Genomic DNA, 14,921 nt, shown 5'->3' on the forward strand with positions numbered 1-14,921 from the left:
TTAGTGATGAGAAAATCAAGGCCAAGTACATATGTACATTCTGCCTCTAGAAGACAGAAGCAGAGCCATCTCCAAGCCTACTGCGGCAGGCCCAGAGAAGAGAACAACCATGTTTACTGAATACATTTGCTTCTGTCTGAAGTTTGGGGAGTAGAAAGCGGAGTAAGCTATGACCAGAGGTGGGTCTGGGAATGGTGAGGCCTGATACATGTATAATTTGCAGCCCCTATTCAAGAAAAAGAGTACAAAATTATGAGTCCAAGATTAGATAAGAAAATGATTATTTCTTTAAATTAAGAAAAGAAATCACAACAAATTCAAATTTTAAGAAGCTGAAAATTACCACAAACATCACAAAATTCCCAACTCAACTTTCCTCCAAAATGCCAGCAGCCACCTGACACCACCCTACTCAAGGGCAAGTTGGGGGTGGGGAATCGGAGTGGAAAGACAGCGGTGTCTACGGCCTGCAGCCAAATGTCCAAAGCAAAGGACTTTTGTAAACTTTACATCAACAAGCCACCATCTGAACACTTTTCTAAGTCCCCTTAGAAAGGGGTCCAAGCAAGTCAGGGGCCCAAGAACTTAACCTTCATCAGCTCCTGTAAACTTACAACTGGAATTGAAGACTGTTACGGCTCAAGAGCAACGGCTTTGGAGTCAGCCAGGCCTGAATTTCATTCCTGGCTCAGCCACTTTCTGCCTTCTTTGAGCTTGGACCTGCTCATTTGTGAAATGAGTGTGCTGACAGCAGCTACCTTGGGGTCTCTCTTGGGGATTACATGAGATAAGGAAGAGTTGGGCATTGGATGAGCTTAAGGTTGCAAATAAAAATATAGGACCCCCGGTTACATTGGAATTTCGGAGACAAAAGAAATACTTTTTAAATATAAGTACGTACAACCAATCGCATAAGACATATACTGCAACTGATTCCTCGTTTCTCTGAAATTCAAATTCACCTGGGTGCCCTGTCTTTTACTGCACTTAAGAAATGACAGTGGTTGATATTGCTTTTGGATTGAAGCATCCTGGGTGTCCCACGGTGGAATTCATAGACATTAGAGAGTGGGTGACGGGCTAGGAAAGGCTGCATAGACTCCAATTAACACAGTTCATTGCCAGGGAGACTAAAAGGGGGGTGGCTATGAGAGGATGGAGTAAGTGGGGTGCCTTGATTTGGGCATGTAGGTGGAGGGGGCTATACCTCTCACTTTCACTAAACCAGTTAAGCTCTTGAGACCTCAGTTTCCTTAGCTGTAAAATGGGTGAAACATAGGGGAGACCCCTGAACCGTTCTCACCTAAATACCACACCAATGGCACTTCCTCATAATTCAGATGTCACCTCCTCAGAGAGGTCTTCCCTGACTGCTCTAGCTAAAATTACCGCCTCTCCTCCACTCCCCAACAGCAGATACATATATTATTTTTCTCCCTGTAACTCTAACTTTCTGAAACTGTCTTGCTTCTTTACTTGGTTATTTGTTTATGGTTTGCCTCTCCATGTGAATGCAAGTTCCGGGAGGGCAGAAAACTAGTCTGTCTTGTTCTAGCTGAGTCTCTCAGGAGTGGTACCTGGCACAGTAGATGCTCAATATATTTTGAATGAATGAATGGGTGGTTGAGTGAACGAATGTTAGTGTCACTATTGAGGTCCTCTCCGAGCCGTCGTTCCTTTCACAGGGGTCATGCCTGGGTTGCAGGGAGGATGTGCTGCCCCGGGGAGGGAGGAGGTGCGGGGTGTCGGTGGGTGGGGAGGAGGCTGGGCCCTGGCCTCCAGGACCGGCGAGAGTGAGCGCGCTCTGCTCGGCTGCAGGCTCAGGAAGCGGCGCGGCGGCACGTGCTGGGCCAGAGCCCCGCGCCCTGCGTCCAGCCGCCGGGTGTGTGCGCCCGCGTAGCCCAGCGTCGCGCCTCGGCGCCCCCACGCGCCCACGCAGCGGCGCGGGGACCCGGGCGGGGGCAGAGGGAGGGCCCGGCCCAGGGAGGAGAAGGGGCCGGTCCTCCCGGCGCAGGCAGCAGCCGCGGCAGCCCAGGAGGCGGAGGCAGCGGCAACGGCAGAGACAGCAACGTGCCCGCCGCAGTCAGCCCGGCCTCGTCGGACCCGCACCGGCCCGCCCGCCCGCCCGCACCGCGTCGGGGCGCCCTCTCCACTGCGCGCGGTGAGTACCGCCAGCGGCGCCCACCCCAGGCCGCCCGCCGGGATTCGCCGGGCGGGGGGAGTTGTTCACCGGGACCCCCTCGCCCTGCGCCTCTTTCTGGCACTCGCCAAGCGGGGCCTCCGCAGCTGTCGGGACGTTCTGGGGCGCACGGGCCTCCCAGGGCCAGGAAGGCACAAGGGCAGAGGGGACAGCAGCAGAGCCCCCCTCTGGAAAGGCTCTCCCAGGCTCGGGGCCCCAGTTTCCCCATGCGCTTTGGGGCAACGACCCTGAAGTTTGCTCTCCCGCGCGCGGGACAAGTGCATGGCGCGCAGGCGGTGTAGACGCGGCTGGGTCCTTGGCGTTTTGTTCGATTATGGTCCCGGCGGTTCGCGATAAGGGGCGCTCCCCCAGTCCGCAAACTCAAGCCCTCAGGTAGTGTTTATGGGATAACCAAGAAGCAGAGCCAACCGCTGGAATCCCGGCTTGGGGCTGGAACGGCCCGCTGAGACTTTGCCTTCTAGCTATTGATATATTTCTTTTCAAAAGTCCGTTTGCGCTCGGCCCGCTCTGGTTCAGGTCTGGGGCTTTGAACCGGGGCAGGGAATCCTGGCGCCTGCTGCGGGTAGAGTTGAAACTTAGAAAAGTTTACATCCGAAGGGTGTTTAGAAGGCGGCAAGGATTTCGTTGTAATGGGAGAAAGTGGGAAATGGAATTGTTTTTTAGTCATGAAGTCTGGAGGTTAAACGGCCGTGCTGGCCCAGGCTCCTTCAATATATTCCTGCCTGCCTCCCCCCCAGCAATAAATAGTTTATAAGCTCAAGGAATACTAGGAAAGCGTGACTGGTGAACGTACTCCTATCGCAAAAGACTCAGTGCGCTTTTCTCAGCTGTTGAACTGGAAGCGCCTTTTGCAGTGCGAGGTTCCTGCTTCCCCGAAGCCGAGGCTGAGAGTTGACAGCGTGCACCCTGCCGCGGTCTGAATTCTTTTTAAAAAGCAAGACCGATGCTGCGTTTTTATGGATACCCTTTTCTTTTCTTTCCCCTTCCCCGAAATGCTATGTAATCTTCAATTACTTTTTAAAATATAACGTGGAGGTATAAATCACCCCGGTAAGAGGTACCTTTTAATTACGAGGTGCAGTGGAAGAGCTGAACATTGGAATCTAGCTGTTAGCGAGGGCGGAGGGGCAGGAGGATGATTTACAAACATCATGTAAGAATTTGAGCACTGAATTATGTTTGAGTTAGGGAGATCCCTTACAAAGGAAATTATAACCAGTGGACAATTGTATTTCAAACCGAATCTATTAATTTCATGAGCCGTTTCTTGATTGAGTGAAATGTCTGTGACCATAATAGATACAGAACTAGTAAGCACCTTACCAGACTATGACCCATTTGTTAGCAACTAACATACACATGTAACCATCCTGCTTACAAAAAAAAAAAGAGGTACACAAAGAAAGAGTGGGAGGAGAGAACCTCTTTTTCAAAATAATCTTTGTGAAAGAATCTTTCACAATTTTACTCGATAAATAAATGTTCATTTTTTCCACTTGTCTTTCTTCATCACCTTAAGCCCCTTCATCCTTTACATATCTTTGCATTTAGACACTCTCACACTTGGGTAAGTTCTTCTATAATTTATATAACAAATAACAAATGATAGTGGTTTGAATCTTGCTTTTGACTAAGCATTAAATTGTGTTTGTATTAAAAAAAATCTCCTTGCCTTCGTAGCAAACTCTTAACTTTTGCCATTGTGAAAAGACCAATGTGGTTAGATGCAAAAGAGCCTGAACTTTTTTTTACTTTAAAGCAGTTTATATGTCCCCATTCTCTTGTAACTTCAGCTTCACAATATCATTCACTATTTTATCTGAAAGGAATTGGCATTTTTCTTTTCTGTCTTAAAATAGCTCACCTGGTGTTGTGACCATGTGTATGAGAATACTCTATAAACACACAAATCACTTCCCCAATATCAGAAAAACTAAAGGAAATATAAAATAAAATAAAAAGATGTGTATCTCAATACTTTAGGATTTTTTTAAAAAGTTTTCATCACGTAAGTTTTAGAATCTTCTTTTCATGTCTTTTGTTTTGCATTAAACACATCATAAAGAGGTATGATTTGTTGACTTGTTATAGGATTACCATTTGGCAAAAACGCCCAAGACACGCTGTTTCAAATATGTGGTATTACTTCTGCTTTAAATTGCGTGTAAGAGATTGCAAACCTTGTTCCAGATGGATAAATTGATAAAATGCTAGCTGCTGTTGGGAGAATGGAAAAGCCCTCAGCAAAAAGGCTCTGTGGTGTAGCTAAGTACATTTTGAATTAGGGTGAGCAAGCTATGGAGACCCCAGCCGTTTGTGAAAAAATATACACAGTCCAAGCACGTCCACTTTAAGACGTTGTTGGATCCTCCGTGACAAGATGACTCCTTTCCCACAAAGAAGAAACCGTTTCCTTATTTTTTCAGTTACTTTTCCAAAGACAACTTGCATCGGGCGCAAGAGAGCAGAGTTATGCAGAAATCCAACCGTAACCAGCTCAGAGCGAGGACTCATTCTCTCTCCTTCCACCAGATGTTTTTTAGGTGTCCTCAGCTGGAATGCCCAGTTTGAAACTAATTAGGCCAGCAGTAAACTCCTTGTATAATAAAATCGCAGGCCGTAATGGTGAATAAGTGAGGTTCCCAGCCGCTTATGACAGATGCCTTTCTGGGCAGAGAGAGAAGAGAGCCTGTGGCTGTCAGGAGAAAATGAAGGGAGTGGAGGTGCCTTCTTTAGACACATGCCTTTCCTAAGTATCCACGCACATGATCGCAGAGCGGAGGAGTGGAAGTTGCGACTGGGGTAGAGTTTTGTCTTTGCTGGGCAGGCCTCCTTCATACAAAGATGCTTGGGGGAGAATCAATTATAAGTATTAGGCAGTGTCTTCAGGTCTTAGGTGTATGCTGTGTGTGTGTGTGCAAAGGCTTGGGGAGAAGGATTGGTGTCACGTGCGGGGCAGTGTAAAAAACTTAACTGCTTCCCACCTGGGCACAAAATGAAAAGAAAGACTGCCTGGCCTGACATAAATTCCTTGGGAGAGAGGAGAACCTGCTCCCCCAGAGACTTTTGATAAAGGGAGAATTCGCCTAATGATGTGGTTCCCCTTATCTGTGAGGTTTGTGAGGGTGAAGGAGTTGGTTAGTCTGTTACCTCCAAAGGCTGGACTTTCTGACTAAGACTGGGTTTTGTTGGTGGAAGGAACCGGGTTTTTTGGGTTTTTGTGTTGGTTTTTTTTTTTTTTGGTTGTTTTTGTTTTTGTTTTTTTTAGCTAACTGTTCTGAAAAAGGAGTTGGTAGACTGTGCTCAAAAGGAATCTCTTTACAAAGAATTAATCCCAGAGTTAAGAAAACACAGCCTGTTGACAGAAAACACACACACACACACACACACACACACACCACAATTCTTCACTCACTCCCAACCCTCTTCCCTGATCTCCATCCCCCAATGTCATAACAGCTTCCTGAATGGCCCACTTCTCCCCACTATCATTTGTGGCAGTTCAAACAGTCCTAAACATACAAAACAAAAAGAAGATTCTGGTAAGAAAACAATTAGCAGAGAATTCGCTGGAGACAATGCTTCGTTTTCACTGTTTGAAGATCGTAACTGGCCTAATGGTGTTTGACTAACACCCTTTTCTAGTCGGAGGAGGATAAACACCCCCTCCGTCAGGTGGTAAATACTTGAAGTGACAGTAACTGAGGCTGCAGACCCACTTGTGTTATTGTAAATGAATCAGAGGGGCAAGACCTTGTTCTTTACGGCGTGTGATTTAAAATCAGTTTTAAGGTACCTGCCAGGTGTATTTAGAGGAAAAGGCATGAAGGAAGCCACAGGCTTATACATTCATTTTTAGTGCATATTTCTTTTTGTTCATTTTCATCCTATTGAGTTCCTTTGTCATTTCTCTGACTTGCAAATTATACCCTTCTGTTTAATAGTAATGATGAAAATAGCTGCTGTTTATTGAGAACTGGTATACCAGGCCTGCAGTCAGCTCTTCACGTGTATTTTTAAAGTGGATTCTTGCCGCAACCCCTTGAGTATTATTATCATTATTTCAACTTTGTTAACAAGGAAACTGAGTCGCAGGTCAAATGACCGACACAGGGCCAGACTGAGTGAAAATGAAATCTACGCTTTTGCTTCTCTGCAAAGTATGCCTTATCCATGTGCAATACAAGCTTTGGCTCAAAACATTTCTGCTATCATTTCCTTTGGAGGAAGATGCTGAATTTGGATGGTTTTAAATGCACAGAACACAGTTATTTTCTGAACCTGCCCTGACGTTTTTTGCCACTGTCGTTTGAAATGGGGAAACAAAATCATATTAAATATTCAGGAACACAAATACAAACCTCTGTGAGCCATGACCCTTAACCGGTTGGGTATGGTTCTGTAAAGGAAAATGACGGTTTATTTAAGGGCTAATTTGATTTATTCCTTCGATACTAACACTACGCATTTCAGGTCCTAAAAAGAGTCAATAAATTTACCGGCAGTGGAGAGGCCCTAAAACATTACGGTAGGCGCAGCCCAAGTCAAGTTTACCGGAAGGTGCTGGATCGCTATGGGTGGGTGTTGTTTCGGGTTAGATTTTAAACATTTGGAGAGCAAAGAATAATTTGGAACAGGTGGTGCCGAGAGTCAGGTAGCTGGAATGATTTATCTTTGCCTCTTTGAACGTTAAGGGAGGCCACTGGTTGCCTGAATCTGGAACCAGCAGGCTGCGGGTCAGTGGGGGCTGAGAGACTCGTCTTTGGGACAAACTTTGGCAGGATCCAGGGGCTTCGTCAGCGCTGTCATCGCCTTTGGATGATAGTAGTCAGAACACAGTTGTGCCTGCTCGTGCATTTTTGAAAAGTCTGCCTCTGCCTTCAGATATATGCAGAAATCTAAAACAGGAACTTAGACGCGCCGCAATGCCAATTTAAACATCTTTAAAAATGAACAAAGTATGTAATAGAGGTTAGAAACTCTTTTGTCATTTGGTATCAATAGTGTTGTGTCAGTAACATGAAAATGTGTGTAATTTCAATGGCATTGCACTTTCTTCTTCTTTTTTCCTTTTGAGTATCTAGTAAAGTTACATTTTTTAAAAGTCTGTGTTCCCAGATGTAATAGATACGAACGTATCTACTTGCAGTCATTCAGAGGAGAATTGTCAACTCTCTGCTAATGTAACTAAAGGAAAAATGATAAAATCAACATATTTTTCCCCAAAGAATGAGGAACTGGAGGGTTTGACTACTGTATATGGCAACTTACTTTTGTCTCGCGTCAGCTAAATCTGTCAGTTCCCCTTTCTTTTCTATTCATCTCCCAAGAATGGCCTTTCATAACTGAAATACACGTGTATTAGCCAAAAGACATTTTAATTTTGTAAAGAAAAATCATGCCAGAGACAGCCGGGTCTGTTTCAACCATTATTGTTTCTGCAGCATGCATACTTTGGGTTTCATGGTAAGATGTGGGTTTGTCAAGAAAGAAAATTACAGCAAGAAGCTATGCTGAAAACATATACACTTCTGTTTAAGAAATGAGAAAAACACAGAAAAATTCCACACAGTAATTGCTTTTACGTGAGTTTTAAATGTCATTGTTTGACTTATGTCAAAAAGCCCCCTTAGCCAGTTCTCTCATACTCCGTTACCAAATATCTCACCTTAAAAACAGCAAATGTTGGACTTCATTTTGATGATCTTTGAGGCTTTCAGAGATATCCTTAGTCCTAGTGGAAACATTCCAAATTTTTAGATTGTGCAGGCCATTTTTTTAAGGTTACTTAGATATCGATTTTATTTTCTTGACCCAAAATGAGAAAACACGGGGAATTCTCAAAAGCTTTTTACAGGCTGCTATTACGAGAAGAGAAGCCAAACCAACATGTATTAGGTCATGCGCTTGAAGTGCATAAATAAGCCCTATGAAGGTCACCAAACAGGGTGAAAACCACTAGTTCTCGTTACCTTGGCCACCTCTAAATTCCTGCCTGTTAGACGTGTTTGGTTGAAGTGGACACAGAAAGCGGGTTTCCGAGCCCGTGGTTGAAAGATCTCAATTTGACTTGGGTCCTCAAGGCGTCCTTGTGGTAAAGGGAGATAGGAAGGCTGAAATTCTGGTCTCCTCCCCATGGCTCCCTCTCACGGTTCCGGAGAAAAAGCAGGTACTGGGGCCTTCTCTTACTCCAAAGCAGATGTTTCCTACCTGGTATTCGGATATGCGGAAGTCAGAAGCTGAAAATAAAATGAAATGAAAATGTTCCTTCTGGTCAGTTTCTTCACCTCCCATTCCCTTCCTATAGTCACTTTGTGGTTAAGGTATTCATGGTTTCCAAAACAATTTTTTGTTCCCACTATGTTTTCTAGCATTTAAGATGCAAGGTATAAGTACTCACCTTTAAATCTCTATTGATTGGCAGCTTCCTGAAATACAGAGTCAGAGAGCGTGTCCACCACGTCCTGAGTTTGGTACCAACCCAGGTGCTGATGGAAATTCCAAGTAGGGAGAAAACGTCCTCTTCGGAGAGGCAGGGTGTCAGCGCAAAGAGGTTATTTTCTTTTGTGGGTGTGTATTATTTGCACATATCAGGACTTTTGTTTCAGGGTGTTCTAGAAACATTGATCTCTCCAGCAAAGTTCTGCGTGTCCTTCTTGGTTGGGAAGGGAGCGGAGAGGAAGGAGCCCCGAGGAGAATCGTGCACCTTTGGCCTTTTGTGTGACTCCTAGAGTAGAGGGAAGCCTCCGCTGCTCGGAAGGTGTCACGTGGTATAACAAGTTGTGACTTGTGCCTGTGTTGTCAACAGAGTTTTAGCCCCGTCCAGACATGAAAAAGAATGGAGCCCCGAAGATGATTCACCTCCGGTCTGCGATGGGCCCAAGCTGTCCAGTGCTCTCCTCTTGCTAAACAGACCATACTCCCTGGAGGAGTTAATGGCTGGGGTGTGGAGAGAAGACCGGTAGGAGGGGAGAAAGAATGCCTTAAACTCAGCAAATGTCTAAAACGCTCAAAATGTCTCAGCATTGCTCAGGCACCCACAAGAAAGACAAACTGATAAAAGGACATAGAATCAGGCTTTTTTTGAGGGGGAAGCACAGAGAGGTTGGGGGTTTGCTAGAGGTTTGATCTAGAGTGGACAATTTTTCTAACACCTTGGGACCCGATTTTGGAAATGTCTTCCTGTAGCCTTGCTGTCATTCCTTTGTGCTTATTTTTAGTGAATTAGTTTTGGGGATTTTCTTTTGTTTTTAAGAAAACACAGAGTTGTAAGACTTGTTTGGGAATCACAGGTTTTATTGAACACTTATTATTTATTGAATATTTATTATGTCCCAGGCATTGTGCTGTGGAAATACTTTATATGTTTTGTCTCCAAATGGCAGTAGATGGAACGTGCTGTTATTATTATTTCTATTTTACAGATGTGGAAACTGAGTCTGGAGAGTAACTTGTCCAGGATCACATGGCTTATGCCAGAGCCAGGATTAAACCCAGTTTTGATTCCTAACCACTAGGATGTCCAGCCTGCTCCCGTGGTATAACAAGAACTTCCCTTTCTCCATCTGTCTGCCCTGGAGAGCTAGATTTTAAAGTCCTTTTCCACTTGCATTGCCTTATGGATATTTATCGATGGTTAGGTACAAAAATCAGGTTGAGAAAGTAAGAGACGCCAGCAGATTCTCACAAGATTTTGAATCTGCCCTTGTAGAAATGAATGAATGTTTCAAGCTGGACCTATGGAAATGGTCGTAGCATCACTGCAGTTAGTGGCCTAAGTCATTGCTTACAGCTGCTCTTGCCCTATAACCGCAGGGTTGAACAGCCGTACTACAAAGACCATACGGCCTGCAAAGACTATCTGGCCCTTTACAGAAAAAGTTTGCTGACCTCTAAGCTATTGCAATATGACAAGACAATCCTTGTAGACCAGAAATAACATGCACTTGGGACATTTCGTATACCATTTCAATGATTTATTATTTATCAGGTGCCTCCAATGTGCTTGACACATTGCACAGTGATAGGGGAAAATTACAAGTGACTTCATTCCTTCATCCATTTACTTAACAACACTTATTTAGCTGTGTTCTGGGCTGTTTACTGGAGAGCCAGAGGTGAGAAGGACCAAATCCAGCATCTCCGGTAGGAGGATCCCAATGTGTTCTCACCAGTATCCCATGGCCTCTTCTTTCCTGAGGGTGCAGAGGGTGTTGACATGACTTTTTGAGCTTTCTAATGTTTGAGCAGCAGAATGGAAGCAACACCTCAGTCTGTAGACCCTCACCCACAGAAGCTATGCCTGGTTCAGTAAGAGCAGTGCCTCGGCTTCTGCACCTGAAACCGCACTAGGCATATAGGACTTACCAGTGCCCCAGGCTTACTCGGCCGACAGCAACTCTCTGCTTCCCTCAATGCGTTGTGCAGAATGAGGAGGAATGTAGAGAATCAGACTTTCCAAACCTCAGCCTGGGTACTGACTTTCAGCCTCGAGATTAAGAGCTTGAGTCCAGGAGCCAGGCTGCTCAGGTTACACTTCCCCTCAGTGTTAACCTACTCCTGCGTTTAACTTGGGGGTAAGTTACCAGACTTTTCGGTGCCTCAGTTTCTTCGTCTGTAAAGCAGGGTGAATAATAATGCACCTTCCTCAGAAAGCTATCGTGGAGATTGAGTTAATAAACATGAAGTGTTTGGAACTACGGCTGGCAAGTGGTATGAATTATATCAGTGTCAGCTACAGTTATTATTATTATTTATGAATTTGACCTGAAGCAAATTACTTAGACTCTTTGGGATGATAATAATAATAGTAACAACAATAATAAAATAACTTTTCATAGTGCCATTGTGAGAATATAAATGAGGCGATACATGGAAAACACTTAGCTTTGCTACACTGCCTGCCTCCATTCAATGTTCAATGAGCTAGCTATTGAGATTATGGGGAACAGTGCACTGGATCAGTGCGGTGTCTATAAGCTATTGATCAGTTGAGTCATTTTAGGTATCGAGAGAATGTTGGGCAGTGGTCGATAGCACAGGCCCTGGACTCAGACAGATCTGGCCTGAGCCTGAGTCAGTCCATCACTCACGGACTGCCATCTCCAGCAGGGGTCTGACCCTCTCAACGTCCCAGACATCGGAGACAGCAGTTAACTGTTCCTGGGGTGGTTGGGAGGCTTAAAAGAGTGGCTGGCACACCGAGCACAGAGCAGGGTGTTTGGCACATAGTAAGCACTCAATAAATGGTAGCTTGTATTATTACCACCCCCATTTCTTGCTGTACCCCCACCCCCAAGAAAGCACTGAACATTAGTAAATTTTAATTTGAAAATAAAAGAACACATTTTAAAACTGCCAAACAGATTTAAAATAATATTCATTACACAAAATTAAAATATTCTATTAAAGCCAGACTTTGGGCTCAGACCAAATTTTTATAACCCAAGCTTAAAGGCCAGGGAGTCCCCCAGCCACAATGGGGACATTGTGATTGAACTTGAGACTTCAACGCTGCTATTGAGCAGTCTTTGAAATGCATGTTTCCCCTAAAATAAAAGGGAAGTAATGGGAAGGAAAAAAATGAGGTTCTTGCTCCCCTCAACAAGCCTTAATGAATTGGAAAAGAAAAACAAAATATTTCTCATTTTTCTCCTGCTACTCGATCCTGCCAAAGACGCACGGCCCCTCCCAACCCTGGCTTTGAATGGTGCCCACTCAGAACCTTCCAGATCTGATATGCTATATGAGCAAACCTAATCTAAGTTGTAACATTGTAGTCTTCACCAGGTTTTACAGATGGCGGATTGTATCACTGGGAATCCAGAATGGGGAGCCCAAATTCCTAGGTTCAAGTCCTAGTTCTGCCTCAGTTTCCCTATTCACAAAATAGAGACAGTCCTCCTACTGCATAAAGTGGTGGTGGGAGTCTGAACGGTTAGCTCTCCCCATGGATGTTTTAATCTTCTGCTGTTACCTAATGAATGAAACTTGCCCTGAGTTCTGGGACTTTGAAAAATTAAAGTATACAGGTATGCCTCTGAGAGTTATAAATTAAAAAAAAGTCTATTCAGGGAGGAGAATGGAGGAGGGAAGAAGGAGACATAAAAATGGCTCACAGGAGTTATTATGTGACAGACACTTTCACAAAGCTCATTTAATCCTCTCAAAAAAAAAAAATACATGATATACATGTGTCCATTTAACAAACATGGAAACTGAGACTTGGACAGATCGAGTGACTGCCCAGCGGCATTCCATTCCAGGTCTGTGTGACCCAAAGCATGGGCCTGTTGTACCACATGACCCACAGCCCTCCTGGAACAAGGTCACAAACAATCATGGTGGACTGGAGAGACTCCCCTGACCAACCAGTTATTTATGATCTATTCTTACATTTCAATAGCATCCTTCATCCTCAATGAGCCTGAGTTGCTGTGGCCTTTTACCCCACATTCCATTGAGAACCAGTAGATTTTTTCTTGAACAGCACATGGAAAAAGTAACGTAAGTGGGTTGCAAAATCCTTTTCTGGATGAAATCCTTCAAGAATCCCTGCCATTTCTTGCCAACCGGAATGAAGTGACTTCCTCCTCAGACCAGGCCAGGCCCTTGGCTATGGTGTGGGACCATGAGACAGAGTTGTCTGAGGCTGGGCAGCTCCTGGAGAGGGTATGGGGTCCCCTCTATCACCAACCTGCTGTGTGTCTTCGGGCAGATCACAAGAGCCCTCTGAGCCCCAATCTCCTCATCAGCCCATGGAGCAGACACCTTCTATATAGGATTTGTTATACGACTTAAATAAAATGACAGTGGAATACTTAGGGTACTGTGGAATTGGACCCATTCCCAGGAGTACTCAAAGAAAGGGGAGAAAATGAAAGTTACTTGCCCCAGGCACATTCCTTACTGTTCTTCAGGTAGCTACCGTTTGGGGACTTTAGACATTCTGGAAGAATCTGTTAGTCTCTGAAGGGCAGACTTCTTTTTAATGATGTGGGCACCCTTTCCACATTAACTTGAAATGTACATGGACATTTTTTTTCTTTAGAGTTCTGTCTCTATCTTATTATGCATTTGGAAAAGATATAAAAAGCATTTGAAACAAATGGTTTTACAATTTTTTACTGCTTAAGACAAAAATGATTTAAAAACCAAGTCCATCAAGTAATTGATAGCAAAAGTGGCACACAGCCATGGCAGAGTTCATGAGGGAAGTTTCAGAAACACGAATCTGATGATGTGAAGCTTTCCCTGTGATCTATTCATTTAAAATAAAACATTTTAGTTTTAAAACTCATCCCCGCAGGCTGCGTACGACAAATTCCACCCAAATACCCAGAACCTTTTACTAACCAGAATTGCAATGCTGTGCTGCTTTCAGGGGAATAAAATGAAACAAATGCAGTCTCTCGGGGACATTGGTAAAGTCATCTCAGAGTACATCAGTGTCCGGGCACATCTAGTCTGTGTCTTGTATCTTTGAAAGAAGAATAACTAACCTTTGGATGACTGTAATGTTGATAAAAAATAATCTCTGAGGGCTAACTTTATGCCGGGATATGTTCCGAAAGATTATAGGCATTAACTCATTTATTCCTTGCAATAATTCTACGATGAAAGTACTGTTACTATTCCCAGTTTAAGTGAGAAAAGTAAGACACAGAGAGGTCAAGTGACTTGTTCAAGGTCACCCAGCAAGTGCAGGGGTAGAGCCAGGCTTTGTATGTGGGAGTATGGTTCTAGAGTTTGTCTTCATAACCCCTGACTTCCCTGATTCTTTAACCACCATAAAAAATTAAACTCTTTGACCCTCACTTACTTGCACAATGAATTAATTAAGGACAGGCATGAGAAGGGGCTGAAAGCGATGTTAAATCTCAGTTATAATTTTTCAGTTTCTTACAAGGATGTATTTGCGTATTCCATTATCTTTAGGGTACAGTACACTACAGAAGCCAGTCTCTCCACGTTCAAATCCACTGTCTACCACTTACTAGCCTTGGGCTTCCTTCACCTCTCTCAGCCTCAGTTTCCCCATTGATGACATGAAAATAACGGACTCTGCATAACAAATGCATTGAAGACCACGAGACACACACAGTGATTGTTAAAAGCTATTGATTACCTGTGGAAGAAAAATTAAGTCTAGAAATCATATCTTCCTACAGGGCACAAATGCAGTTTGGTATAGTTTGGAGTGAAAAAGAAGGGAAAACCGCCTGAGCTGTGAGGTTCAAGCTGGAAAATAGCTCAGGTTTTTCCAGATGCCTTAAGACTGAGCCAAAGAGACCGGCTTTCCATGTCTCCACATGAGAAGTTACCGAGCTAAGTCCTCAACAGGCAGCCTACAAGCCATTGATGTTAGAATCTGTCCAGGTGAGGAAGCAGCAGCCTGTGGGAGGGTCTTGCCCATGGCCACATGGCCAGTCTGTGGCAGAGTGGGGACTCCCCACCCTCTTTCAAGACGAGTGAGGGATCTTGGGTAGCATGGGTCAGAGGTGGAGAGGAACACATAAAAACAAGCGTGAGGCCAGGCGCAGTGGCTCACACCCGTAACCCCAGCGCTTTGGGAAGCCAAGGCAGGCGGATTGCGTGAAGTCAGAAGTTCGAGACCAGCCTGGCCAACATGGTGAAATCCCATGTCTACTAAAAATAAAACAATTAGCCAGGTATGGTGGCCCGCATCTGTAGTCCCAGCTACTGGAGAGGCTGAGGCAGG

At 44.5% G+C, this 14,921-nt stretch overlaps 1 protein-coding gene and 1 long non-coding RNA gene across 5 annotated transcripts in view, besides 1 other annotated feature; one reads left to right on the plus strand and one right to left on the minus strand.

Annotated features, from left to right (window-relative positions):
- Positions 2,017 to 14,921, plus strand: part of EYA2 (EYA transcriptional coactivator and phosphatase 2) — a 294,002-nt gene continuing 281,097 nt past the window's right edge. For all 4 annotated transcript variants that reach the window (NM_005244.5, NM_172110.4, XM_017027721.3 and 1 more), the window contains exon 1: positions 2,017 to 2,161. The gene's annotated coding sequence lies outside the window, so the exon portion shown is untranslated. The remainder of the gene's footprint in view (positions 2,162 to 14,921) is intronic.
- On the minus strand, positions 7,562 to 8,922 carry EYA2-AS1 (EYA2 antisense RNA 1). Its single transcript, NR_183876.1, has 2 exons — positions 8,601 to 8,922; positions 7,562 to 8,439 (listed from the first exon to the last, which is right to left on the minus strand). It is a non-coding gene; the product is annotated as an EYA2 antisense RNA 1 (long non-coding RNA).
- Positions 7,746 to 8,945: an enhancer, noted in NCBI's record as "BRD4-independent group 4 enhancer chr20:45529211-45530410 (GRCh37/hg19 assembly coordinates)". NCBI's record gives its function as "activates an origin of replication core promoter dependent on BRD2, P300/CBP, MED14 and CDK7 cofactors, and independent of BRD4, by STARR-seq in HCT116 cells {active_cell/tissue: HCT116}" and the evidence as "EXISTENCE:reporter gene assay evidence [ECO:0000049][PMID:35650434]".

This window comes from Homo sapiens, chromosome 20 (assembly GCF_000001405.40).
Source record: "Homo sapiens chromosome 20, GRCh38.p14 Primary Assembly".
In the NCBI taxonomy this organism is placed as follows: Eukaryota; Metazoa; Chordata; class Mammalia; order Primates; family Hominidae; genus Homo; species Homo sapiens.